The 26320-nt window shown below is 42.5% G+C and overlaps 1 pseudogene, besides 6 other annotated features; it reads right to left on the bottom strand.

Annotated features, from left to right (window-relative positions):
- Positions 10065-10619: an enhancer, noted in NCBI's record as "NANOG-H3K27ac-H3K4me1 hESC enhancer chr13:73663678-73664232 (GRCh37/hg19 assembly coordinates)". NCBI's record gives its function as "activates a minimal SCP1, AML or CMV promoter by ChIP-STARR-seq in naive H9 embryonic stem cells {active_cell/tissue: H9 hESC(naive)}" and the evidence as "EXISTENCE:reporter gene assay evidence [ECO:0000049][PMID:30033119]".
- Positions 10065-11727: a biological region, named in NCBI's record as "P300/CBP strongly-dependent group 1 enhancer GRCh37_chr13:73663997-73665196".
- Positions 10384-11583: an enhancer, noted in NCBI's record as "P300/CBP strongly-dependent group 1 enhancer chr13:73663997-73665196 (GRCh37/hg19 assembly coordinates)". NCBI's record gives its function as "activates an origin of replication core promoter dependent on BRD2, BRD4, P300/CBP, MED14 and CDK7 cofactors, with strong dependence on P300/CBP, by STARR-seq in HCT116 cells {active_cell/tissue: HCT116}" and the evidence as "EXISTENCE:reporter gene assay evidence [ECO:0000049][PMID:35650434]".
- Positions 10620-11173: an enhancer, noted in NCBI's record as "OCT4-NANOG-H3K27ac-H3K4me1 hESC enhancer chr13:73664233-73664786 (GRCh37/hg19 assembly coordinates)". NCBI's record gives its function as "activates a minimal SCP1, AML or CMV promoter by ChIP-STARR-seq in primed H9 embryonic stem cells {active_cell/tissue: H9 hESC(primed)}" and the evidence as "EXISTENCE:reporter gene assay evidence [ECO:0000049][PMID:30033119]".
- Positions 10996-11290: an enhancer, noted in NCBI's record as "tiled region #2769; HepG2 Activating DNase matched - State 5:Enh, and K562 Activating DNase unmatched - State 6:EnhF". NCBI's record gives its function as "activates a minimal TATA promoter and a strong SV40 promoter by Sharpr-MPRA in HepG2 and K562 cells {active_cell/tissue: HepG2 | K562}" and the evidence as "EXISTENCE:reporter gene assay evidence [ECO:0000049][PMID:27701403]".
- Positions 11174-11727: an enhancer, noted in NCBI's record as "OCT4-NANOG-H3K27ac-H3K4me1 hESC enhancer chr13:73664787-73665340 (GRCh37/hg19 assembly coordinates)". NCBI's record gives its function as "activates a minimal SCP1, AML or CMV promoter by ChIP-STARR-seq in primed H9 embryonic stem cells {active_cell/tissue: H9 hESC(primed)}" and the evidence as "EXISTENCE:reporter gene assay evidence [ECO:0000049][PMID:30033119]".
- On the bottom strand, positions 20896-21570 carry FABP5P1 (fatty acid binding protein 5 pseudogene 1; annotated as a pseudogene).

Consider the following 26320-nt stretch of genomic DNA (forward strand, 5'->3'; position numbering starts at 1 on the left):
CCAAAGATTACCTTGTGGAAAGGAGGAGAGGAGGAAGAGTAGCTTTACAGTGGGTAAGTCTGCCCTCACCACCTCAACCAGTTGATCAAGGTCCACCTCAGCAGTGATAAGTCACGCTGATAGTGTGTACCCTTGATATGATGTGATGAAAATGGAACTTTGCTTCTCCTTCTGAAAACATGTACCCCAGCGTGATCATGAGAAACACATCAGACAAACTGCAATTGAGGGATATTCTACAAAATACCTGATAAGTATTCCTCAAACTATCAGGCCATCAAACACAAAGTCTGACAGATTGTCAAAGTCAAGAGACATGACGATACAATGTCATGTGGCATGTGGATGGGATTCTAGCACAGAAGGAGGGCACTGGGGGAGAATGGAGGAAATTTGAATAAAGTATAGAATTTCACTAATGTATCTTTTTTTTTTTTTTTTTTGAGATGGAGTCTCGCTCTGTAGCCCAGGCTGGAATGCAGTGGCGTGATCTTGGCTCACTGCAACCTCTGCCTCCTGGGTTCAAGTGATACTTTCACCTCAGCACCTCCCTGCCTGCCCGTCGAAGTAGCTGGGATTACAAGTGTGTGCCACCCGGCTAATTTTTGTATTTATTTATTTTTTTTTTGAGATGGAGTCTCGCTCTGTCGCCCAGGCTGGAGTGCAGTGGCGCGATCTTGGCTCACTGCAAGCTCCGCCTCCTGGGTTCACGCCATTCTCCTGCCTCAGCCTCCCGAGTAGCTGGAACTACAGGTGCCCGCCACCACAGCTAGCTAATTTTTGTATTTTTAGTAGAGACGGGGTTTCACCGTGTTAGCCAGGATGGTCTCGATCTCATGACCTCATGATCTGCCCGCCTCAGCCTCCCAAAGTACTGGGATTACAGGAGTGAGCTACTGCGCCCGGCAAGTTTTGTATTTTTTGTAGAGACAGGGTTTTATACCATGTTGGCCAGGCTGGTCTCAAACTCCTGACCTCAAGTGATCTACCCACCTTCCCCTCCTAAAATCCTGGGATTATAGGTGTGAGCCACCATGCCCTTTTCGGCTGTAATGTGTCCATATTAATTCATTGATTGTGACAAATGTATCATACTAATGTAAGCTGTTAATATCATACTAATGTAAGCTGTTTCCCCCTGGGAAACTGGGAATGGGGTTAGAGGAATTCTATTATCTGCAATACTTCAGTAAATCTACAACTACTAAAAGAAAAGCGTTAGTTTAAAAAAAGTGAAGAAAAGCCAGGCATGGTGGCTCATGCCTGTATTCCCAGCACTTTGGGAGGCTGAGGCAAGTGGATTACCTGAGGTCGGAGTTCGAGACCAGCCTGGCCAACATGACAAAACCCTATCTCTACTAAAAATACAAAAATTAGCTGGGCATGGTGGCATGCACCTGTAATCCCAGCTACTTGGGAGGCTGAGGCAGGAGAATCACTTGAACCTGGGAGGTGGAGGTTGCAGTGAGCCGAGATCGCACCACTGCACTCCAAAAAAGTGAAGAAAAATCAGTATCACTATTACATATTCCCACAATAAATGGTATGGGGGAGGGATCCCCAATGTTCTCAGATCTGAAGTAAAAAACTGCAGTTATGTATTTTGGCAACATGTTTATTTAGCCTCATTATTTGACTCCTCACTCTTCCTAATCATTGGAGTAATATCTAGCTCAAGAATATTACACACTTCATTCCTTTGCCACAGCTTTTTCCCTCCCTCCCTCCCTCCCTTCCTCGCTTTCTTCCTTCCTTCCTTCCCTCTTTCCTCCCTTTGTCTTTTCTTTCTTTTCTTCTCTTTTATTTCTTTTTCTTTTTGAGACAGGGTCTTGCTCTGTCACCCAGGCTGGAGTGCATGGCATGACCGTGGCTCACTCCAGCCTTGACCTCCCAGGTTCAAGCAATCCGGCCATCTAAGTCTCCCAAGTACCTGGGACTACAGGTGTGAGTCATCATGCCTGGCTAATTTTGTGTGTGTCTGAAGACGGGAGCCTCCCTGTGTTGCCCAGGCTGGTCTTGAACTCCTGGGATCAAGGGATCCCTCCACCTTGACTTCCCAACTTGTGATTACAGGCGTGAGCTACTGTGTCCACCCCTGCCCTGAAACTTCTTAGATTCTTTTTGTGATTCAGCTCTAATTGATTGATAAGGAGATGTCAAAAAATTACCTCCTATTTCTGTGTGAATTGACTTAAGCCACTGCAGCAATTGAATACATCTAATGTTTGCCAAATTTCCTCTTCATGTTGCACTGTTGATACAGTGTTGGTGTTGGATTTTTGATAAGGTATGTGAACATGAAACTGTGATTATAATGCAAGCAAACATGTAATACCTTGTGTATTTTTAAACAGTATTAGTGAGTTTTCAAGGGAAAATGATTTTCAAAAGGCAACTATGCCTAACCAACTTTTCAAAGTTGCAAATAATTTAATTGCTTATCATTGTTATGCTCATTTAATGACTATCTGGGTTCAAACATATTCTGACTGTTTATCTGTAAACGAGCTACAGCAATTAGACAAAAATTGAGCAATATACCAGGTTCCAAGTGCAATTATGTGACTTGATTTCAAATAAGTAATGTTTTGGGGTTAACTATCTTCAGTTAATTTTTATTCTCCCCACTACTAAGTTATCTTGTTCTACTTCATGTTGTCATTTCATTCTTATATTGCAGCTCACATTAAGCATGTCACTTCATGGCATCCAATTAGAGAATCCTTAGATAAACATGACCTGGCCTGCCTACATAAAAATATTTTTAAAAATCTAGCTAAATTCCTTTTCCTATCTGTAATTAAGCCCACCAGAACTTTTTGGATTAACTCGTGGGCTGTAATGTAACAAAGAAGGGCTTTATTCTCTATTACTAAATCTGGTCCCTACTTTGAAGTTAACCAAATTCCATCTTTGGTTAGATTCTTGACTACAGTGTGAAACTAATCAATGGGAGACTTTTTTAAAAATTACTCATACTGAAGTTATAGGTGACAAAACCTGGAAATTTGTAACTGTTTTAACAGTGACTATTAAGACAAAAAATATGGTGGCTCATGCCTGTAATCCCAGCACTTTGGGAAGTCAAGGCAGGAGGACTGCTTGGGCCCAGGAGACCCTGTCTCTATAAAAACTAAAAAAATTAGGTTGGTGCGTGCCTCGTGCTTGTTGACTCAGCTACCTGGAGACTGAGTGGGAGGATCGTTTGAGCCCAGGAGGCTGAGATTGCAGGGAGCTGTATTCACACCACTGCACTCCAGCCTGAGCAACAGAATGAGACCTCGTCTCAAAAAAATAAAAAGAAGAAAAGCACAATAAATCCCATAAAAGCTATATACGATTGGAAGAGTTTGTTACATGAAAACTCAGAAGTTTCATTTTTGTTTGTAAATCAGCAATCTTTATTCCATCTGACCCTCTCAGTGCATGTCACCCCATGAAGGCATTTGGTGTCATATAAATGGTAATATTCTTAAATATGAAGGTTAAAGCTTAATGCTATTTGGTACCCAAAGACATTTGAATGACTATATATACATATATATATATGTATATATGTATATGTATATATCCACTCACATAATCTTGCCAATTGGAACTTGGCGTACTGCCCAATTTTTGTCTAATCGCTATAGTTTGTTTACAAAGAAACAGTAGGAGTAGATAGATATTGAATAGAAACTCGCATAGACTTCTAGGTAAAGATCTAGCCTTCAGAACTATTCAACAGCTTCTTTGATGAAGGAAACAACCCCCAAATCACTTCGTTTCAACCAGCAAGATCTTGCCCAGGACAAAATTGGATGAATAAAGATGACAGTGTCCAAACTCCTGAGTACTGTCCCAGGAACCTCCAAAGACATGCCATGGAGTCAAGTGGTGGCACCTCTTCCTATCTAAAGTTTCAAGAGATCTTCACCTATTTTAAGCATCTAATGCAGTATTTCTCTCAGATGAATTCCTCGGACACACCTGTAGGAAAAGGGCCCTATGGTTAAACAAGGACCTGCCAAATCTAGAAGATTCACAACACATGCTGGAATAATAAAGTCTCTGAGGTGTTCTGCAATAAATAAATTTAAACAAAAAAAAAACCAAAAGACTGTTAACAGTTTGTCTAAGTTGTTCATTCCTTAGTTCCCCACTTCTCTTCGAACCCCAACAAAAACACACTTTGGATAGGGAATAATCAGTCCCCACCCAGTGGAAAAGTGAGGATTTATAGGCTTATTTTCTGGAGAGGGGAAAGATACAGTATTTCTAAACAGAGTAAACAAGCCCCAGTTTCTAGTACGGTGGCTCATGCCTGTAATTCCAGCACTTTGGGAGGCCAAGTCAGGAGGATCACATGAGGCCAGGTGTTCAAGACCAGCCTGGCCAACATGATGAAACCCCGTCTCTACTAAAAATACAAAAATTAGCCAGGCGTGGTGGCAGGCGCCTGCGGTCCCAGCTATTCAGGAGGCTGAGGCAGGAGAAATCGCTTGAACCTGGGAGGTGTGGAGGTTGCAGCGAGCCGAGATTGCGCCACTGCACTCCAGCCTAGGCAACAGAGTGAGACTCCGCCTCCAAAAAAAAAAAAAAAAAAACAAGCCCCAGTTGAGGGCAGGAATGCCAAACAGAAAATTAGGAGGATTAAATGAATGTATGCATATTGGAGGCTAAGCTTTTTTATGCAAAAGAATGTTTTATGTACTCATTAACATAGTAATTAATGTAAATTACATTCTGATAATGTAAAATACAGTGTATTTGTTAGGCCTCAAAAAAGAAACTATAGCATTAGTGCAATTTAAGATAACTGGTAAGGCTCTTTAAATTGTTTAGGAGGCTGAGATTTTTTCTCTTCTTCCCTTGGTTCCCAGAGTGCTGGAGACCAAGTCTTTATCAAGGTAGGAGGCTGAAAGAGTCTTTGGAATGGACCAGTCCAAGAGAAATAACTAAATATATGGAAAATCCCAAGTTCTCCAATAAAATGGCCCAGCCAGATCATTCACAGAGAAACCCACAGATGACTAGACCCACACATGTGTCCAGCGCTTCCAATCAACTCTTTGGTCCTTCACTATTAAATATTAACAGATGGCAGGCCACAGTGGCTCACACCTGTAATCCCAGAACTTTGGGAGGCTGAGGTGGGTGGATCACCTGAGGTCAGGAGTTCGAGACCAGCCTGGCCAACATGGTGAAACCTTGTCTCTACTAAAAATACAAAAATTAGCTGGGCGTGGTGGTGGGCGCATGTAATCCCAGGTACTCCGGAGGCTGAGGCAGGAGAATCGCTTGAACCTGGGAGGCAGAGGTTGCAGTGAGCCGAGATCGTGCCATTGCACTCCAGCTTGGGCAACAAGAGTGAAACTCCATCTCACAAATAAATAAATAAATAAAAATAAAAATAAATATTAACAGACAACTAAGAAATAACAGATATCTGAACAAAACATTTAACATGAAAGATAGAGATAAAACAGAGGGCTGGGTGCGGTGGCTCACGCCTATAATCCCAGCACTTTGGGAGGCCGAGGCGGGCAGATCACAAGGTCAGGAGTTTGAGACCAGCCTGACCAACATGGTGAAACCTTGTCTCTAGTAAAAATACAAAAATTAGCCAGCTGTGGTGGCGGGCGCCTGTAATCCCAGCTACTCGGGGGTCTGAGGCAGAAGAATCGCTTCAACTCAGGAGGTGGAGGTGGGCCAAGATCTCACCACTGCCCTCCAGCCTGGGTGACAGAGTGAGACTCTGTCTCAAAAAAAAAAAAAAAAAGATTAAAAAAAAAAAAAGAAAAGAAAAAAGAAATAAAAGCACGGGAAAGAATCATTTGTCTCTGTGTTTCTGTATTTTCCACACTGGACTTGGCACACAGTAAATGTTCAGTAAGTACATGTTGACTAAATAAAGGGATCTGTAAAAACAGCTCATAATCTTAGGTACCTCAGCAAATTAGGGTCATCTGAGTGAAAAAATGTAAACACTGTTCATGAATTCTCACCAGAAGCTATTGAAAATCTATTGTTCTGTGTTGCAGTTGGAAATGCCTTAAAATCAATATGAGAGCATTTTAAAGTTTGGATATAAATAAATTGAAAAATGTTTTTGACAATACTGCTTTGCTGAATAATGGTTACACTAGGATCTATATAATAGGATTCAAGGCCACCTCTGAAATCTTCTGGACCTAAATGAACACACCTTGCTAAGTACATCAGTTTCTTATGTGCGTGAAAGGAATGAAGACTTAAAAAAGAAATAAAGTGATTTTTTTCCTCTTTGACCCTAAAATGAGCAAAGTTAATCATATATTTTGTGTGTTTACATAGAATATTTTATCTAAGAAGTCACAACTCTGAAACAAAATGGAATGATTAATTGGCCCTCATATCATTGTGTATTAGATTAGTATCTTATCCCTGTGTCTACCTGAGGAGACATCTACGTGAAAGCACTAAATGAAAAAAGATGGTAAGTACAGCAAATTTTCTTTTTCTTTTCTTTTTTTTTTTTGAGACAGAGTCTCACTCTGTTACCAAAATGGAGTGCAGTGGCATGATCTCGGCTCACTGCAACCTCTGACTCCCGGGTTCCAGTGATTCTCCTGCCTCAGCCTCCCAAGTAGCTGGGACTACAGGTGCCCACCACCACACCCAGTTAATTTTTTGTATTTTTAGTAGAGATGGGGCTTCACCATGTTGGCCAGGATGGTCTCCATCTCTTGACCTCATAATCAGCCTGCCTCGGCCTCCCAAAGTGTTGGGATTACAGGTGTGAGCCACCATGCCTGCCCAGTTTCTGTGTGGATATAGAAACTGTGTGGTCAAGGATATAGAGCTTTACTTTTTTTTGAGACAGAGTCTCACTCTTGCCGTCCAGGCTGGAGTGCAATAGCGTGATCTTGGTTCACTGCAAACTTCACCTCCAGGGTTCAAGTGATTCTCCTGCCTTAGGCTTCCGAGTAGCTGGGATTACAGGTGCACGCCACCATGCCCAGCTAATTTTTGTATTTTTAGTAGAGACGGAGTTTCACCGTGTTGGCCAGGCTGCTCTCAAACTCCCAATCTCAGGTGATCCGCCTGCCTCGGCCTCCCAAAGTGCTAGGATTACAGGCATGAGCCACCCCATCTGGACAGAATTTCTTTATTTCTCCAGAGAAAAGGGTTTTCCTTCCCCATCTCTTAAAAATGACACAAAACCAGAAACAAAAAAACTAAAACAAGCGCAATAATTCCCCCCCAAACACAAAAGGCTTTGGGAGTGTACATTTTGTTGAAAATGTCACTGATTCCTCTTTGACTATTAATTTTTCTTGGGTTCCGGATTCACCTGGACTTACATGACTTCAAGTGAATTGTGGAGCTTTTGTTCACCTGTGGGTAAAAACCCAGGTGATAGAGCCAGAGTGAGTGATGGGGCTCCTTTTTCTGCCTCACCTTATGCAGGGCTTGTAAGAGGTGGCGGAGAAGCAAAGCTTTTATAGAACTGCAGTACCAAATTACACTTGTCATCACTGTAATAGGAGCTTGCGAAGATAGTTATCTTCCCAGCCTGTTTCTCCAGAACATTTCATACATTTTACACGAACATAAATAAGAATTTTAATTGAGTACTTTTATAATTGTAGCATTCTATACTCCAGATGTCTTGAATGCTGTCTTGGTTGTCATAAAAATGTCCACCAAATGAGTAGATTGTTATAAAAATGGGAAGGGCCAATAGACCATCAAAGACTCTCCCCGTAAGGCTTACCTATCAGAATGTGAGGTATTTCTTTGTTGAAAGATGTGTTTAGTTTCCTGCCTTGAAAACGTGATTGTTATGACATTACTGACAATGCAAATGTTTTGACCAAAAGCGAAACAAATGAAGAGATTTTATGTTTTGTTTTGTTTTTCTTTTTTCAACTACGTATAATCCTGGAATGGCATCAGATAAACAAGGTCTAAAAGACTGAAAATTAAAAATAATAAAAGCAGAGCCAGTTACTTGGGGGTAATAAGAAGGAACTAAATATTGTGATAGATAGATACAAAGTACTTAGATCTTCCAGGCATTTTACTAAGAATATTTTCCTTTAAGAAAATTAGAGATATTTTATGAATGTTACTTTTTTGAGCTAATTTATTTAAACTTTTTATGAGTGTTTAAAGAAAAAATGATAACATTGTCTGTGGGGGTTCTAATAGATGTAATACATTTGACAACCATAGCAAAAAAGCAGAGAGATGGTGAATGGACTTGTATGTTTCGAAGGTTTCCAGATTTTACATGAAGTAGTTCGGTATTAACTTTACATTGTGAAAAGTTAAATAAAAGGTAAACTTTCTGTAAAGTTATAGGCTGGATGCAGTGGCTCACACCTGTAATCCCAGCACTTTGGGAGGTCAAGGCAGGAGGGTTGCTTGAGTCCAGGAGTCCGAGACCAGCCTGGGCAACATAGACCTCATTTCTACAAAAAATAAGAAAATTAGCTGGGCATGGTGGCATGAGCCTGTAGTCCCAGCTACTCAGGATGCTGGGGTGGCAGGATCCATTGAGCCCAGAGGTGGAGGTTGCAGTGAGACGTGACCACACCACTACACTCCAGCTTGGGTGACAGAGTGACTTTGTCTTAAAAAAATATATATTTAAAAAAATATATATATACACATATATATACACATATATATACACATATATATACATATATATACACATATATATACACATATATATACACATATATATACACATATATATACATATATATATACACATATATATACACATATATATACATATATATACACATATATACATATATATTTTTATAGTAATCTCCAAGAAAACAGTAAAAAAATACAATGAGACATAACTAAAAAGCAGATAGATAAAATAGAATTTTAAAGAAATATTCAAATACTTAGAAAGCAGGGAAGTAAGAAGAGAGATACAAAACATCAGTGGGAAAAAAGAGAAAAAAATAGTAAAATGGTTAACCTAAATCCTACCATATCAATTGTTACACTAAACGTGAATGGACTAAAAAAAGTAGACTTTTGGCTGGGTGTGGTGGCTCACACCTGCAATCCTGGCACTTAGGGAGGCCACAGCAGGAGGATCCCTTGAGCTCAAGGGTTCAAGACCAGCCTAGGCAACATAGGGAGACCCTGTCTCTACAAAAAAGTAAAAAAATTAGCCCAGTATTGTAGGACACGCCTGTAGTCCCAGCTACTGGGGGTGCTGAGGTGGGAGGATTGCTTGAGCCCTGGAAGTTGAGCCTTCAGTGAGCCGTGATGGTACCACTGTATGCCAGCCTGGGTCACAGAGCAAGACCATGTCTCAAAAAAAAGGTAGACTTTTTTTTCTGTTAAGCGTTAAAGGCCTAAGTTCATTTTTGGAGGTGCCTGTTTGTTATTTTTAGGGGAAAAAACCTTCCCTGGATGGCACATTTAATTACACAGATGTAAAGCAAGGATCTACACATTTTTCTGGAGGTAAGTTTCGTATGTAGCCATTACTGATAATCTGACTCTGGCCCAGTGGAAACTGGACCTTGGCAAGTGGCTTATTCCCTGAGTAGATGTGTGTGGCCCAGTAACTGGGAAGATCTGAAGCAACAAAGAGCTGGAACACTCAGGGGCCTGCATCCTTGTCTCAGGTCTTCCTGGATTGAGTGTTAGCTAAGAGGAAAGTGATACTGTCTTTCTTTTTGAAAAAATCAACAATTTGTTTTCCATAACTATATGTCATTTTTATTTTTTTCTTTTTCTCTTTTTTAATAATAGAGATGAGGGTCTCACTAGCCCAGGCTGGTCTCAAACTCCTTGGCTCAAGCAATCCTCCCACCTTGCCCTTCCAAAGTGCTGAGATTACAAGGCATGAGCCGTGGTGCCTGGCCACTGTACCTCTATAATTACTTTGAGAGGTGTAGCCATCATAGCATGGCTATAGACACCATTAATCAAAGATGACACAATAATGACACAATAAACAGTGACCAAGAGAAGAACTGTCGTAATAAACAGCAAGGGGCTGTTTTGGGGGAAAGTGGTAGTCAAATGAATTTGGGGTCACTAGTCAGGTGACTAGATGTAATCTTGTAAGGTTGGTGGTCACAGGGTGCTGAAACGCAGGCAGTTTTTCCTGACATAACTAACATACGATTTGCCAGGGTACTGTGTCAGGCCCTTGAGCCCTTTAACACACATGACTTCCCTTACTATAATCCTATAATTCACTTCTTACTGTAGCAAATTTATAGATGAGAACAATAACGCCCAGGAAGGTTAAGGAACTCATTTTCCTCATGGAAACACAGCCAGTAAGAGACAGAGCAGGCTGTTCTGATTTGAACTCATTGACTCTTTTTTTGTTTTTTGAGTCGGAGTCTCATTCTGTCACCCAGGCTGGAGTGCAGTGGCACCATCGCAGCTCACTGCAGCCTCTGCCCCCCTGGTTCAAGCGATTCTCCTCCCTCAGCCTCCCGAGTAGCTGGGACTACAGGTGTGCGCCACCATGCCCAGCTAACTTTTGTATTTTTAGTAGAGATGGGGTTTCACCATGTTGGCCAGGCTGGTCTTGAACTCCCGACTTCAGGTGATCTGCCCACCTCAGCCTCCCAAAGTGTTGGGATAACAGGCGTGAGCCACCAAGCCCGGCCCTCATTGACTCTTTCTACAGTAGCATACCTGTTTCAAGAGGCATGCTCTATATAGGGAAGCCCATCAGAATCCGGGAATTAAGGAAACAAGACATGAAGGGAACTCTCAGCTCATCTAGAGGGCTCCCCAGGCTCCCTTTAGGGCGGGAGTCTGTTCCAAGGTGCAGCCAGCCTGAGCCTGCCAAGAGTAGCAGGTGAGCCCTGTTAAGACCATGGTAAGTGGATTCACCTGCCCAGAGAGAGATGCGCCGATCTTGACTGTCTCTTGAGGGATAGTGGAGGATCAGAGCTGCCAAGATAAAACCCTGGAGCTTGGGAGGATTTCAAGCAAGTGCTTTGTCCACTCGAAAAAGCCTTCATCCAAGCCAAATAAGACAAGTGACTGTGAGAAGGTAATAAGTACATTTCTGGTGATTATACCTACAGAGAGGCAGGAATAAAGGGAGAGAACAATGCTTCCAGGCCTTTGATCTTTACCTGCCACAGGCCTCTCCTCCCCTTCTAGCCGACTTCCTGAGGCAGGAAATGGTGACATCACCCTGCGTTTGTCAGCACTCTCCTGTTCTGAGTCATCAGGATTGCTGGCATAGTGATCCATAAGATTTCCAAGTAGATTATTTACTCCCCTTTTAGGGGCTTGGTATTGCACCTTCCCTCAGTGTACTGTCAGACCTCTCTTCAGTTAGAGATTTCCTCCTTGGGATGTCATTCGGTGTCCTCATAGGTAGTATCTTCTAACTTTTATTAGCATTATCCTTTATTAACCAACTCTAAGTTGGGGGTGGGAGGTCATAAAAATACCCAGTTGAATGAATTACAGTTAATTTTAACCATTCCTCCATTGTTGGACATGAATCCAGTTTCCAGTTATTTGCTGTTACAGACAATGTCAAAGGAAACATCTTTTTCCACAATGTGTGCATGTGTTTTTTTTTTTTGAAATGGGCTTTCGTTCTGTCCCTCAGGCTGGAGTGCAGTGGTGTGATCATGGTTCACTGCAGCCTCAAAATCCTAGACTCAAGTGATCCTCCTACCTCAGCCTCCTGAGTAGCTAGGACTACAGGTGCACACCACAGTGCCTGACTAATTTTTGCATTTTTGTACAGACAGGGTTTTGCCATGTTGCCCAGGCTGGTCTTGAACTCCTGGGCTCAAGTGATCCACCCACCTCAGCCTCCCAAAGTGCTGGGATTATAGGTGTGAGCCACTGCAGCCTGGCCTGTGTTTGAGTATTTCTGTAGGATAGATCGCTAAATGAGGAACCAGGGATCAAGGTATTTAAACATTCATGTTTTTAAATTTATCATATTTAAAACCTTTTTTATGGGTTGAGCATGGTGACTCACACCTGTAATCCCAGCACTTTGAGAGGCCGAGGCAGATCCCTTCAGCCCAGGAGTTGGAGACCACCCTGGGCCACATGGCGAAACCCTGTCTCTACAAAAATACAGAAAGTAGCCAGGTGTGGTGACTTGGTGCCTGTAAATCCCAGCTACTGGGGAGGCTAAGGTGGGAGGATCACTTGAGCCCAGGAGGCAGAGGTTGCAGTGAGTTGAGATCACGACACTACACTCCAGCCTGGGTGACAGAATGAGACTCTGTCTCAAAAAACAAAACAACAACAAAAACCAAACCTCTTTATTATGGAAGTTTGCAACAAATATAAAAATAGAAAAGTATAATGAATACTCACCCTCTTTACCCAGCTTTTACAATGATCAACTCTCAGCCAACTTTAATCTACCTGTACTCTCAACTCTTCCCTGTCTTCCCTCCCCTAGATTATTTGAAAGCAAACCTCAGACACCATATAATTTCATTTGTAAATATTTTAGTATGTAGGCCAGGTGCAGTGGCTCACGCCTATAATCCCAGCACTTTGGGAGGCCAAGGAGGGCGGGTCATTTGAGGTCAGGAGTTCAAAACCAGCTTGGCCAACATGGTGAAACCCCATCTCTACTAAAAATACAAAAATAAGCCAGGAGTGGTGGTGGGCGCTTGTAATCCCAGCTTCTCAGGAGCTGAGGCAGGAGAATTGCTTGAACCCGGGAGGTGGAGGTTGCGGTGAGCAGATATCGTACCATTGCACTCCAACCAGGGTGACAGAGTGAGACTCCATCTCGGAAAAAAAAAAAAAAAAAGAAAAGAATATATACATTTTAGTATGTACCACTTAAAGATGACTGCAGCCTCAAACTCCTGGGCACAAGGGATCCTCCTGCCTTAGCCTCCTGAGTGGCTAGAATTACAGCCATGTGCCACCATGCCCAGCTAATAGTTTTTAAATATCATCCAAATATGGATGATATATTTTAGCCAGGCATGGTGGCTAATGCCTGTAATCCCAGAACATTGGGAGCTGAGGCGGGTGGATCACTTGAGGTCAGGAGTTTGAGACCAGCCTGGCCAACATGGTGAGACCCTGTCTCTACTAAAAATACAAAAAAATTAGCCAGGCGTGGTGGTGTGTGCCTGTAATCCCAGCTACTTGGGAGGGTGAGGCTGGAGAATTGCTTGAACCTGGGAGGCGGAGTTTGCGGTGAGCCGAGATCTCGCCATTGCACTCCAGCCTGGGCAACAAGAGCGAAACCCCGTCTCTAAAATAAATAAATAAATAAATAAATAATAAAAAAAAGGTCATTTTAAATCTGAATAGGTTCTCAAAATTGTTCTTAAAAAAAAGTACTAACTTATCCTTCCACCCACAGTGCTGCTCTTGGGAGCAGAATTCTGAAGAGAAAGGCAAAATTCAAGGGAAAGAGTTTGCCTTTAAGTTTTAACATAGCCTATGTTAGGCTATGTTAAAACTTAAAGAAGGAAGACCAATAAATAGCACTATAGCAAGAGGAGAAACTAAACCTACCAATGGTCTGTGAGCTCTCATACATTTAACCCTCCTAAAGTACAGTCTTGAATAACAGACAACATCAAAGGGCAGCTGTGCTTTTCTCAGAATAAAACAGCTGAGCTAAACAACCAAAACCAAACAGCTGTACTGCCTTTGGATTTAGTGTTGCATTAAAATTAGATGTTTTCTTTCCCCAGCCTTTTTTTTTTTCTTGGTGGAAGAAGCAATTGAAGAGTTTTATTTCAGACATAAATGTTATGTTCAAATCATTTGCACACAGCCCACAGTAAAATGTTAGTTATTACGGAAATCTGACTGATGGCATTGTCACTTATAAGGAGAGACCCTCTCAATTGTTTTCATTATTCAATACTACTTAATTATTTAGAATTTGCCTGTGTACAGTGAACGTCATTGATGTTGTAGATGCGAAAGTTAATTAAAACACCTTAAACTTGATTTTTATTTTATTTATTTTATTTTATTATTATTTTTTAGACGAGTTTTACTCTTGTTGCCCAGGCTAGAGTGTAATGGTGCAATCTCTGCTCACTGCAACCTCTGCCTCCCGGGTTCAAGCGACTCTCCTGCCTCAGCCTCCTGAGTAGCTAAGATTACAGGCGCACACCACCGCGCCCGGCTAGTTTTTGTAGTTTTAGTAGAGACGGGGTTTCTCCATGTTGGTCAGGCTGGTCTCGAACTCCCGACATCAAGTGATTCGTCTGCCTCGGCCTCCCAAAGTGCTGGGATTACAGGCATGAGCCACTGCATCTGGCCACAAGTTTAATTTTTTCAGTTTTTTTTACTTGTTTCATTTTGTTCTGTACTGGGTAGCAAGGGAACGTTTTTGAACAAGGACAATTAATGTTGGATTACTATGTTAGGTTTACAGGAAGGGCCAGAGTCAGGGAAACCAGGAGCCTATTGAAAAACGTGAGAGAGCTGGGTGTGGTGAGAGGCCCAGGCTGGTTGGCTGATCCCTTGGCATTTTGGGAGGCCCAAGCTGGCGGATCCCTTGAGATCGACTGGAGCAACAAGAGGAAACCATCTCCACCAAAAGGAAAAAAAATAAAAGGGGGAAAGGTGATAAAGACATGAATTGGGCCGGGCGACGTGGCTCACGTCTGTAATCCCAGCACTTTGGGAGGCTGAGGTGGGTGGATCCTGAGGTCAGGAGTTCAAGACCTGCCTGACCAACATGGTGAAACCCCGTCTCTGCTAAAAATACAAAAAAAAAAAAAAAAAAAAAAAAAGCTGGGCGTGGTGGTGGGCACCTGTAATCCCAGCTACCTAGGAGGCTGAGGCAGGAGAATAGTTTGAACCCGGGAGGTGGAGGTTGCAGTGAGCTGAGATTGCACCACTGTATCCAGCCTGGGCAACAGAGCGAGACTCCATCTCAAAAAAGAAAAAAAGACATGAATTGACGCATCGTGAAAAAAACATTTCCCTTTACCTCTTTGACCAAGAGAAACTAAGTGAACTTTTCTTTTCTTTTTGAAACAGGGTCTCCTTCTGTCACCCAGGCTGGAGTGCAGTGGTGTACTCGGGTCACTAGAGCCTTGACTTCCTGGGGTCAAGGGATCCTCCCAGCTCAGCCTCCTGAGCAGCTAGGACTATCAACATGGCCATGATGTCCAGCTAAAATTTTTATATTATTTATTTATTTATTTATTTATTTAAAGGACAAGACAGTGGATAACATTTTTAAATTTAAAATCAACTATTTTTTTTTTTTTTTGTACAAACAGGTTTTCACTAAGTTGCCCAGGCTGGTGTTGAACTCCTGGGCTCAAGTGATCCTCCCACCTGGGCCTTCCAAAGGGCTGAGATTACAAGTGTGAGCCATTCTACCCAGTCTGAACTTTTCATTTAGCTTACCTTTTCTTTTTTTTTTTTTTTTTTTTTGAGACAGAGTCTCGCTGTCACCAAGGCTGGAGTACAGTGGCACAATCTTGGCTCACTGGAGGCTCTGCCCCCCGGGGTTCACGCCATTCTCCTGCCTCAGCCTCCCGCGTAGCTGGGACTACAGGGGCCCGCCACCTCGCCCGGCTAATTTTTTGTATTTTTAATAGAGACAGGGTTTCACCGTGTTAGCCAGGGTGGTCTCCATCTCCTGACCTCATGATCCGCCTGCCTTGGCCTCCCAAAGTGCTGGGATTACAGGCGTGAGCCACCGTGCCCGGCCAAAGCAACTACTTCATCTCCCCGTCGGGGAATCAGAATCCTGGAGCTTAAATGAGAAATTCCTAGATGCTCCATTCCTGATGTTCTTCTGTAAAATGAAGTTGGCCTTAAGTGCTTTAATTGCTTTTGGCTGATATCAGAGGTTTTCACTGGGTTATGTTTCTTTAAGGCAAGGACCATGCGTGGAGGGCCTTGAGCCCTGAGCACCTAAGCTTAGCACCTTAGAACGTGGCAGATGGGTGCTTATTAGATTTTTGTTGAAAAAATGCCTTCCAATTTTTTCATGTTTGATTTCATGGCTGTGCTGTAATTGCTCCCATGTTCTTAAACCCCTCTCATCCTCTTCATTCAGACAAACACAACCTGCTTTTCTGATGCTTACGCTTGGATGGGGTCCTTTCTCCAGCCTGTGGAGGCCTCTTTGTGTCACCAAATCATATTGTATATATATTTTTTATTTTTTAATTTTTATATATTTTTTGAGACAGAGTTTCACTCATCACCCAGGTTGGAGTACAGTGGCATGATCTCAGCTCACTGGAACCTCTGCCTCCAGGTTCAAGTGATTCTCCTGCCTTAGCCTCCCATGTAGCTGGGATTACAGGCATGCACCACCACACTTGGCTAATTTTTTGTTGTTGTTGTTGTTTTTCTTTTTGAGATGGAGTCTCACTCAGTCGCCCAGGCTGGAGTGCAGTGGTGTGATCTCAGCTCACTGCAACCTCTGCCTCCCGGGTTCAACAATTCTCCTGTCTCAGCCTCCCTAGTAGCTGGGACTACAGAAGCCTGCCACAACTCCCAGCTAACTTTTGTATTTTTAGTAGAGACAGGGTTTCACCATACTGGTCAGGCTGGTCTCAAACTCCTGACCTTAGGTGATCCATCTGCCTCAGCCTCCCAAAGTGCTGGGATTACAGGGGTGAGCCACCACACCTGGCCATATTGTATATTCTTTAAAACAACAACAAAAAAGCTCATTAGATTTTTCCCAGCTGAGTTCAACTCTTTGCCGTCTCCTATTTGTTTCTGACCACTCTACCAAAACCCACTTTAATCTAATAGCCAAGTGTTAAAGCTCCTCAGTTACTCAAAATCTACTTACTGGCAGATTGCAGGAGCCTTGGAGGAGGTAAGGTCTTGGCATTTTTTTAGTGAGTCTTGCCCTAGGTCCCTGGTTTCTAAATCTGGCCAGGTGTCATCATTGGAGGAACTAGTTAAACATCTGCATTCCTGGCACCATTCCAGCCTCGGTGACTCAGAATTTGGGGTGTGCTGCCCCCAGCCTCCAAAGAGTACAGCAGGAGCCTCAGGAATTTGAATTTTAACAAGTGTTCCAGGCAATTCTGATACCTGGGCAGATAGTCCAAACATTTAGTGTAAATTCCTTCCAGGGTCGGCAAAGGGACAAGGGAGAAGGATGAGTTCAAATTTTGGCAGAGATTGGGAGTGAGTCTGACTATCCGTCCATGTTGTCTATGTATTTTTACTCTTCTCTTTAGAGCCTACATTTTCCTCCCTGCCTTCCACGGTTGACTTGTAGACTGACTCTAAAGGACAAGGACTTGCTACTTCATTGGTATCAGAAGCAGGAATTTCTATGAAAATGAATAGACCTGAATTCTTTTATCTTACAATCCTGGAATTGTTAGGAATCTTAAAGGTCACTTAGTGATCTTATTTAGTGGGACACCTTAGATATCCAAAGGACAAGCAATGACATCAAGATTAGCAACTCACATAATTGTGGTGAGCCACCCAGGGCAGGCCTTCCCTGAGGCTTCCAGCCTGAAGTCTCCAGCACTGCGAGCGGAGAGATCAGAAAGTCAGGAGTAGGCCTACGCTGGGAGAGAAGCAGGGGGCTGCGCACAGGAAAATGAAGGGAGATCAGATGGTATATGGAGAGCAAAGAGGGAGTGGAAGAGGAATGTGGGTGAGAACAATCTTCCAGTGCACTCAAACACAAAGGAATTCACTTACTTACTCCCCAAACACCTGCGAATTATCTCCTTAGAACCTGATCTGATGCTAACCACAGGTCTTGCCCTCAAGGAGCTCTCAATCTAGTGGGATAGACAAATACCCATGACAATAGAGAGTGATAAGTCTAACAATAGAGGCAGACTCCAGGAGTAAGGTAAGAATATGTGCAAACACACCAGCCCCAAGGGTTTGTGGAGCCCTTAGAATTTATTTACAGTATTGGATATAACGGCAACATTAAAATATGCAAGCTAGCCAGGCACAGGTGGCTCATGCCTGTAATCCCAGCAGTTTGGGGTGCTGAGCCAGAAGGATCCTTTGAGCCCAAGAGTTTGAGATCAGCCTAAGTAACATAATGAGACCCTGTCTCTACAAAAACTAAAAAAATTAGCGTGGCATGGTGGCAAATCCACCTCAGGAGGTTTGAGGTGGGCCCAGAAATTTGAGGCTGCAATGAATTATGATCTATGATCAGGCCACTGCACTCCAGCCTGTGCAACAGAGTGAGACCCTGTCTCTAAAAAACAAAATAAATACAAAATAAATACAAAATAAAATACATGAGCTAAACAGAAAGACTATATCCAGTTGTTTTTAGAATCGTTTTAAACTTTTTTGTTTGTTTGTTTCAGCCAGAGTCTCTCCCTGTTGCTCAGGCTGGAGTATGGTGGCTCGATTCGACTCACCACAACCTCCGCCTCCCAGGTTCAAGTGATTCTCCTGCCTCAGCCACCCCAGTAGCTGGGATTACAAGTGCGTGCCACCATGCCCGGCTAATTTTTGTATTTTTAGTAGAGATGGGGTTTCATCATGTTGGCCAGGCTGGTCTCCAACTCCTGACCTCAAGTGATCCTCCAGCCTTGGCCTCCCAAATGGTGAGATTACAGGTGTGAGCCACTGTGCCTGGCCTATTTTAAACTTTTTAAATGTTAAATAGAGCATTGCTAGTAAAACAAACAAACAAAAAAAACAACAGCAACAACAACAAAAAACAGAAAATAATCAACTTTCTGGTAATATCTGAACTTGAACCAGATGTTATGAAGAAATGGCTATCGGCTGGGTGCGGTAGCTCATGACTGTAATCCCAACACTTTGGGAGGCTGAGGCGGGTGGATCACTTGAGGTCAGGAGTTTGAGACCAGCCTGGCCAACATGGTGAAACCCTGTCTCTACTAAAAATACAAAAATTAGCTGGGCGTGGTGGTGTGTGCCTGTAATCCCAGGACCACCTCCCACCTCAGCCTCCCAATCCCACTCCCACGTCACTGAGGCTGCAGTGAGCCTTGATCACACCACTTTACCCCAGCCTGGGTGACAGAGTGAGACCCTGTCTCAAAACAAACAAAAAAGAAATGGCTATCATGGATATAATGAAGAAATAGAAATTTTATAATGTATTAAAAGAAATTTCATGTAAGAATTGTTCACATGAGACAAACGTCCTGTAGAAAGAAAAATTACCTTGAGCTAAAATGAGAACTTGCTAAATTCCTCTTTCTTATTCTCTTTTTGGAAATAATCAGCTTTCTTTAAAAATGTAAATAGGCTGGGCTTGGTAGCTCACGCTTGTAATCCCAGCACTTTGGAAGGCTGAGGCGGGCGGATCATGAGGTCAGGAGATCGAGACCATCCTGGCTTACACGGTGAAACCCCGTCTCTACTAAAAATACAAAAAATTAGCCGGGCGTTGTGGCGGGCGCCTGTAGTCCCAGCTACTTGGGAGGCTGAGGCAAGAGAATGGCATGAACCCGGGAGGCGGAGCTTGCAGTGAGCCGAGATCGCGCCACTGCACTCCAGCCTGGGCGACAGAGTGAGACTCCGCCTCAAAAAAAAAAAAAAAAAAAAAGTAAATATTTCTTTTTGGGATAATGTGACAAATGAATACACTTTGCCTTCCTCTCCCTCCCACACCCTCACTTGTAATCACAAAGCTATTGTTGAATGCTAGGTACCAAAGGTATTTTACTGCTGTGATATAAAATGGCAATTGTGTGAATGTAGATTTTAAGATTTCTCAGGGATGGAGCCGGGTGTGTGGCTCATACCTGAATCCCAGCACTTTGGGAGGTCAAGATGAGTGGATCACTTGAGGTCAGGGGTTCAAGACCAGCCTGGCTAACATGGTGAAACCCCATCTCTACTAAGAATACAAAAATTAGCTGGGCGTGGTGGTGCACACCTGTAATCCCAGCTACTTGGGAGGCTGAGGTTGGAGAATCCCTTGAATCTGGGAGGTGGACTTTGCAGTGAGCTGAGATCATGCCATTGCACTCCAGCCTGGGTGACACAGTAAGACTCCATCTCCAAAACAAAACAAAACAAAAAACTTCTTGGGGTAGACTGGATAGGAGAAGAAAAAAACCAAAAACTGAAGGTGCCCCAGACTATTAGTATCAGGGCAGGGATAGTGCAGAGAAAGGAAGTAGGAATTATTTGGAGTCTGAGAAAGGAAAAAAAGAAAATATTCTAAACATGGAAATGGTTGTAATTCGGAAATATCAGACATTATAGTTTAGACCTATACAGAGGAAAGTAAACATTCGAAGTGTATTATCTTATTGATTAGCAAGGAAAAAAATATATCTTCATCTTTTAATAAAGAACTCCTAGGCTGGGCGTGGTGGCTCACGCCCGTAATCCCAGCACTTTGGGAGGCCGAGCAGGGCAGATCACCTGAGGTTGGGAGTTCGAGACCAGCCTGACCAACATGGAGAAACCCCGTTTCTACTAAAAATACAAAATTAGCTAGGCGTGGTGGTGCGTACCTGTAATCCCAGCTACTTGGGAGGCTGAGGCTGGAGAATCACTTGTACCTGGGAGGTGGAGTTTGCGGTGAGCTGAGATCATGCCATTGCACTCCAGCCTGGGCAACAACAGCGAAACTCTGTCTCAAAAAAGCAAACGAACAGCAAAAAGAACTTCTGAATCAGGAGTGCTGTAGGAAGTTTCAAGGGTAGGAATATTATACTTTTATAATCTACTCTTGTAATTGTTAGATTAATTGAAAACTAATAGTCAATCTGGCCTAGTCAATAATAAAGTTAGTTGGAATAAAATCCAGTGCTTAAAATTATTATAATTCAGTTAGTAAATGCCAACTGTATGCTTAGCTTTAAATAAAATTTAAAAGATGGCCCTGTTTTCCTCTAAGATTATATAAGGTTCTTACTGCAATGGAATCCTAAGTCGTTTTATACAGCTTTTCATTTCTTTTTTTCTTTTTTTCTTTTTCTTTTTCTTTTTTTATTAGCACAAACGCATTTATTTATTAACCAAAGGGATGATCCTAATTAATCCAACACACTTTGAAATAGCTGCATGTAAAATGTTCGTGATAAAGATAATTGAACGCAGTAATGGAAAAAAAAAAAAGAAACAGTATGGAGATTTGCTCATTGAACTGAGCTTGGTCATTCTCTTAGTTAACTCCTGTCCAAAGTGATGATGGAATTTTTATTCTACTTTTTCATAGATCCGAGTACAGGCGACATGGTTCATGACACACTCCACCACTAATTTCCCATCTTTCAATTTTCTTGTTATTGTGCTTTCCTTCCCATCCCACTCCTGATGCTGAACCAATGCACCATCTGTAAAGTTGCAGACAGTCTGAGTTTTTCTGCCATCAGCTGTGGTTTCTTCAAACTTCTCTCCCAGGGGACAAGAAAACTGTGTTGTTTTCAAAGTGCTCTCAGTTTTTATGGTGAGGTTTTTGCCATCACAAGTGACAATACAATCTGGCTTGGCCATTGCGCCCATTTTTCGCAAAGCTATTCCCACTCCTAGCTCCTTCATGTATTCATCAAAGCCTTTGCTGTCCACCAGGCGCCATCTTCCTTCCAGCTGCTGAACTGTGGCCATGGTGGGTGCGGGCGGGCTGGCATGCAGAGAGTGGTCTGCGTCGGCGTGGCAGCGTGCTGTCACAGCTTTTCATTTCTAACAACTAGGTTGAATCTGTGCTACACAGATTTGGTTATTAATAGATATAATTCAGCCTTCTTCACTGAGATCGGTGCTTCCTTTTATTTCTTTCTGCTCCTGATGCAAGCTAGGCACACACTAGGCATTCAAAAATATTTGTTGACTGATGAAAAGTCACTGAATATGCACAATCAGAGTTTACCATTTTGAACTGCTACAGAAAACAGTTTAAAACTGTGGATTCAATAGTCCATGGTCATTTCAACTCATATCTTTTTCCCAAGTATCGGGAAAATATTTTCTGGACAGATTTTTCTCCAGTGAAACTGAAACCTAAATTTGATCTATTTATTCAGAGTTCAGGCCCAACACTTAAATTATAGGAAGGTATGTCTATAATTCCAAATTCACTCCAAGTGGACTTTCAGCCCAGGGGAGCTAACTAATGGCCTCAATTCTTCCACTCCTTTCCCTGCTGCAGGAATCAGTCCCCTGGACTCTGATGTGTGGCTGGGTTGGCTGGGTTGCCCTGGGCAGACTTATTAGCTTGGACTCTTTCGCATGCAAAAGATAGCACCTGTGTGACTGTACATATTGAAAATGCAATTGCAGGTGTATTTGCAAATTGGATTTTGAGGGGGAAATTTAAGCAAATCCTTTTGAAAGCAAATCCCTCCAAGGTGTGAGTAATAAAGAAACAAGAAGAAAGGTGTCAATCAAAAACCTATTAAAATCTAGTTTCCAGAGAAGAAGCTGACTGTCTAATGACATTTATGCTTTCATAGCTAGGCATTTAACAGTCATTTTGTGTCAGTTGCTTCCTTTATACATGTCACGTGGCACATTTTTCAGTTTTCTGTATTTCTGAGACCTTAATCCCAATCACTCTTAAATGCTTGAAATGAGCCCATGTTCCTAAAAGGAGGGGGTTTTTGTCCACCTGAATTTCTCTGCAGGAATCTACAATGATGCCTCAAGCATCAGTATATGAAGTCAACCACTGTCATTCATCCAATTCATTCATTCCATTCATTCTTTTAGTTAGCCCTAAAACTCCATGGTAAATTATTATGGCCAAGAGAAGGCTAAACCAACCAGCTGTTTAAAAACATTAGAATTTGGGATCGCAATGAAGTTATGTGTCTAAACTAAAGGCAGAAATTATTATTATTTTATTTATTTATTTATTTATTTATTTTTTTGAGACGGAGTCTCGCTCTGTCGCCCAGGCTGGAGTGCAGTGGTGCGATCTCGGCTTACTGCAAGCTCCGCCTCCTGGGTTCACGCCATTCTCCTGCCTCAGCCTCCCAAGTAGCTTGGACTACAGGCGCCTGCCACCATGCCCGGCTAATTTTTTGTATTTTTAGTAGAGACGAGGTTTCACCGTGTTAGCCAGGATGGTCTCGATCTCCTGACCTCGTGATCCGCCCACCTCTGCCTCCCAAAGTGCTGGGATTACAGGCGTGAGCCACCGTGCCCGGCCGAAATTATTCTTATTTGATTAATCACTGATACCTTTAGTTCCCATTTGTTTGTTTCCTTTATTTTTTGCTTTTGTTAATTCCACTGCCTAACCCCCAAACGTTTACCCTTACTGCTCTATTTTGCATCTGAACGTTATTTGCTACTGCTGCTGTACTTCTCTGGGTTTAAAACGGGACAGTAGTAGATATGAGGAATCAAGAGCAGTAGAAACCTAGATCTTACATTTTGGTCAGATTGTAAACGTGTGATGACAATAAGATATGATCAACTTTTTGACCTTACCCTTCAGCTCTCCAACTGACATTGGTTGTTTGGAGGGGGACAAATCCTGACTCAGGATCCAAGTATCTTTCTTCCCCTCCATGGTAAAGAATGTAATTCTAATTGGGAAAAGAAGAAAGAATTATCAAATTTTAACACATCAACTGGTTTCTAAAATACTTTTGGAATAGTCTAGTATGAATGTCTTTAAAAAGTGGGGCTGGGATTTTATCTGATCTTTGTTGGTTTCTATCAATTGTGGCACTGGAGCCTGTTAAAAATAAATACCATATAGAGACACGTTTTCCGAAAGCAAAACCTGGTGTCTGCAAAACTTACAGGCTCATGGGTTTCTAATTGGGAGTGTGCACACAGACCCCTCCAAGGTAAATACATACATTCTAAATTTACCCGAGCGCTTTAAGCAGCTCTTAACATCCTATGACAAGGAGAACATTTGTTAATCAGAAAAATTACAACCTATTCATACTTATTGTTTGATTATTTCTCTGCTGACCTCTGAAGTCCCATTGTTGATTGAATTAGTTATAGTAACTCATATTTATTTTAGCAACTAGCTAATATAAATGCAAACTCTTCTTATCACCAGATGATTGATAGGCACATTAAGAAGTTGTTCAACAGGTTGCTTGGTTTGAAGAAATGTTTAAATCCTGATGGGTTACCTTTTTATCAGCAAAGAGTGGGAATTAGCACAGATAAGCCCATAGTAACAAAAATTTTATTTTCGAAGTGGAATGTTGTCAGTTCTTTATATTTGATTTTGCTTGAAGCAGTAGATTCTATCAGTTCCTTTTTATAGATTTAAATGTATTTTGGAGGTATTGCTTTTCTATTGTTGACTGGAGAAGGTATCCTATAAAGAATATTATCAAGCAGCTGAAGGTGATGAAGTATCTGTTGGCACTAATCTGACTTTCCTTCTTCTTTCTGTTTTGTTTTTGCATAAAACGTCCATTTTGTAAAGGCTTTCAGGCACTTGAACTAAGTTAGCCCCACAAATGCCTAACATTTTTTTCACTGGTAAAAGTACTGTTTTGATTCTTTTTTTTTTTTTTTTTTTTTTTTTTTTGGGACAGAGTCTCTCTGTGTTGACACGCTGGAGTGCAGTGGCACGATCTCGGCTCACTGCAACCTCCGCCTCCTGGGTGCAAGCGATTCTCCTACCTTAGCCTCCAAATTAGCTGGGATTACAGGCACGTGCCACCACATCCAGCTAATTTTTGTATTTTCAGTAGAGATGGGATTTCACCATGTTGGCCAGGATGGATGGTCTCGATCTCTTGACCTCGTAATCCGCCTGCCTCGGCCTACCAAAGTACTGAGATTACAGGAGTGAGCCACCAAGCCCGGCTAATTTTGGTATTTTTAGTAGAGACGGGGTTTCACCGTGTTGGCCAGACTGGTTTTGAACTCCTGACCTCAGGTAATCTGCCAGCCTCAGCCTCCCAAAGTGCTGGCTTGAGCCACTGCGCTTGGCTTCTTCTTCTTCTCCTCCTCCTCCTTCTTCTTTTTTTTTTTAAATGGAAACATGAGCACAATAGGGTAAGGTAAATTGCCGATGGCTATCCAATAGGTGAGTGACAGGATTAAAGTTCATAGGTCCTCATCCTTAATCTGGTCATTGGTGCATAGGCCCAGCAGGGCTTCTTAACAACTGGCTGTGATTTTCATTATAATATCTCTTCCTGAGGACATAGGTACTTTAGTGATAAGCACTAGAGAAAGGTCTAAATATGGACATGATGGGTTAGTCAAAAGAAATGACTGAAAATTTCTTCTTGATTGGAAACTGAATAATGTTCCTAGAAAATTCTGTTGAAGCCGGGTGCAGTGGCTCACGCCTGTAATCCCAGCACTTTTGGAGGCTGAGGCCCCGGGGGGGATCACCTTAGGTCAGGAGTTCAAGACCAGCCTGACCAATATGGTGAAACTCCAGTCTCTACTAAAAATACAGAATTAGCCGGGCATAGTGGTCCATGCCTGTAATCCCAACTAGTTGGGAGGCTGAGGCAGGAGAATCGCTTGAACCCGGGAGGCAGAGGTTGCAGTGAGTGGAGATTGTGCTATTGCACTCCAGCCTGGGCAACAAGAGTGAAACTCCATCTCAAAAGAAAAAAAGAAAAGAAAAGAAAATTCTGTTGAATAATGCCTCAACTTCCAAAAGGTGTCTGATGATATGTCAGGACTTTTCACAGCACCTCAATTTGTTATTATCATTACTATTATTATTATTAGTTTTTTAGAGACAGGATCTTGCTCTGTTGCCTAGGCTGGAGTGCAGTGGTTCGATTGTAGCTCACTGTAACCTCAAATTCCTGGGCTCAAGCGATCCTTTCATGTCAGCCTTTTGAGCAGCTGGGAATATAGTATAGGCATGTGCCACCATGACTGACTAATTTTTAATTTTTTTTTTTGTAGCGATAAGGCCTTTTTTTTTTTTTTTTTTTTTTTTGAGATAGATTCTCACTCTGTTGCCCAGGCTGGAGTGCAGTGGTGCGATCCTGGCTCATTGCAACCTCTGCCTCCCAGGTTCAAGCGGTTCTCCTGCCTCAGCCTCCTAAATAGCTGGGATTACAGGCATGCACCACCATGCCCGGCTAATTTTTTTTTTTTTTTTAAGACAGAGTTTCACTCTTGTTGCCCAGACTGGAGTGCAATGGCATGATCTCAGTTCACCGCAACCTCTGCCTTGCGGGTTCAGGTGATTCTCCTGTCTCAGCCTCCCGAGTGGCTGGGATTATAGGCATGCGGCACCACACTGAGCTAATTTTTGTATTTTTAGTAGAGATGGGGTTTCTCCATGTTGTTCAGGCTTGTCTTGAACTCCTGACCTCAGGTGATCTGCTGTCTTTGGCCTCCCAAAGTGTTGGGATTACAGGCACAAGCCACTGCACCTGGCCATTTTTTGTACTTTTTTAGTAGAGGTGGTGTTTCACCATGTTGGCCAGGCTGGTCTTGAACTTCTGACATCAGGTCATCC

This window comes from Homo sapiens, chromosome 13, assembly GCF_000001405.40.
Source record: "Homo sapiens chromosome 13, GRCh38.p14 Primary Assembly".
Classification (NCBI taxonomy): domain Eukaryota; kingdom Metazoa; phylum Chordata; class Mammalia; order Primates; family Hominidae; genus Homo; species Homo sapiens.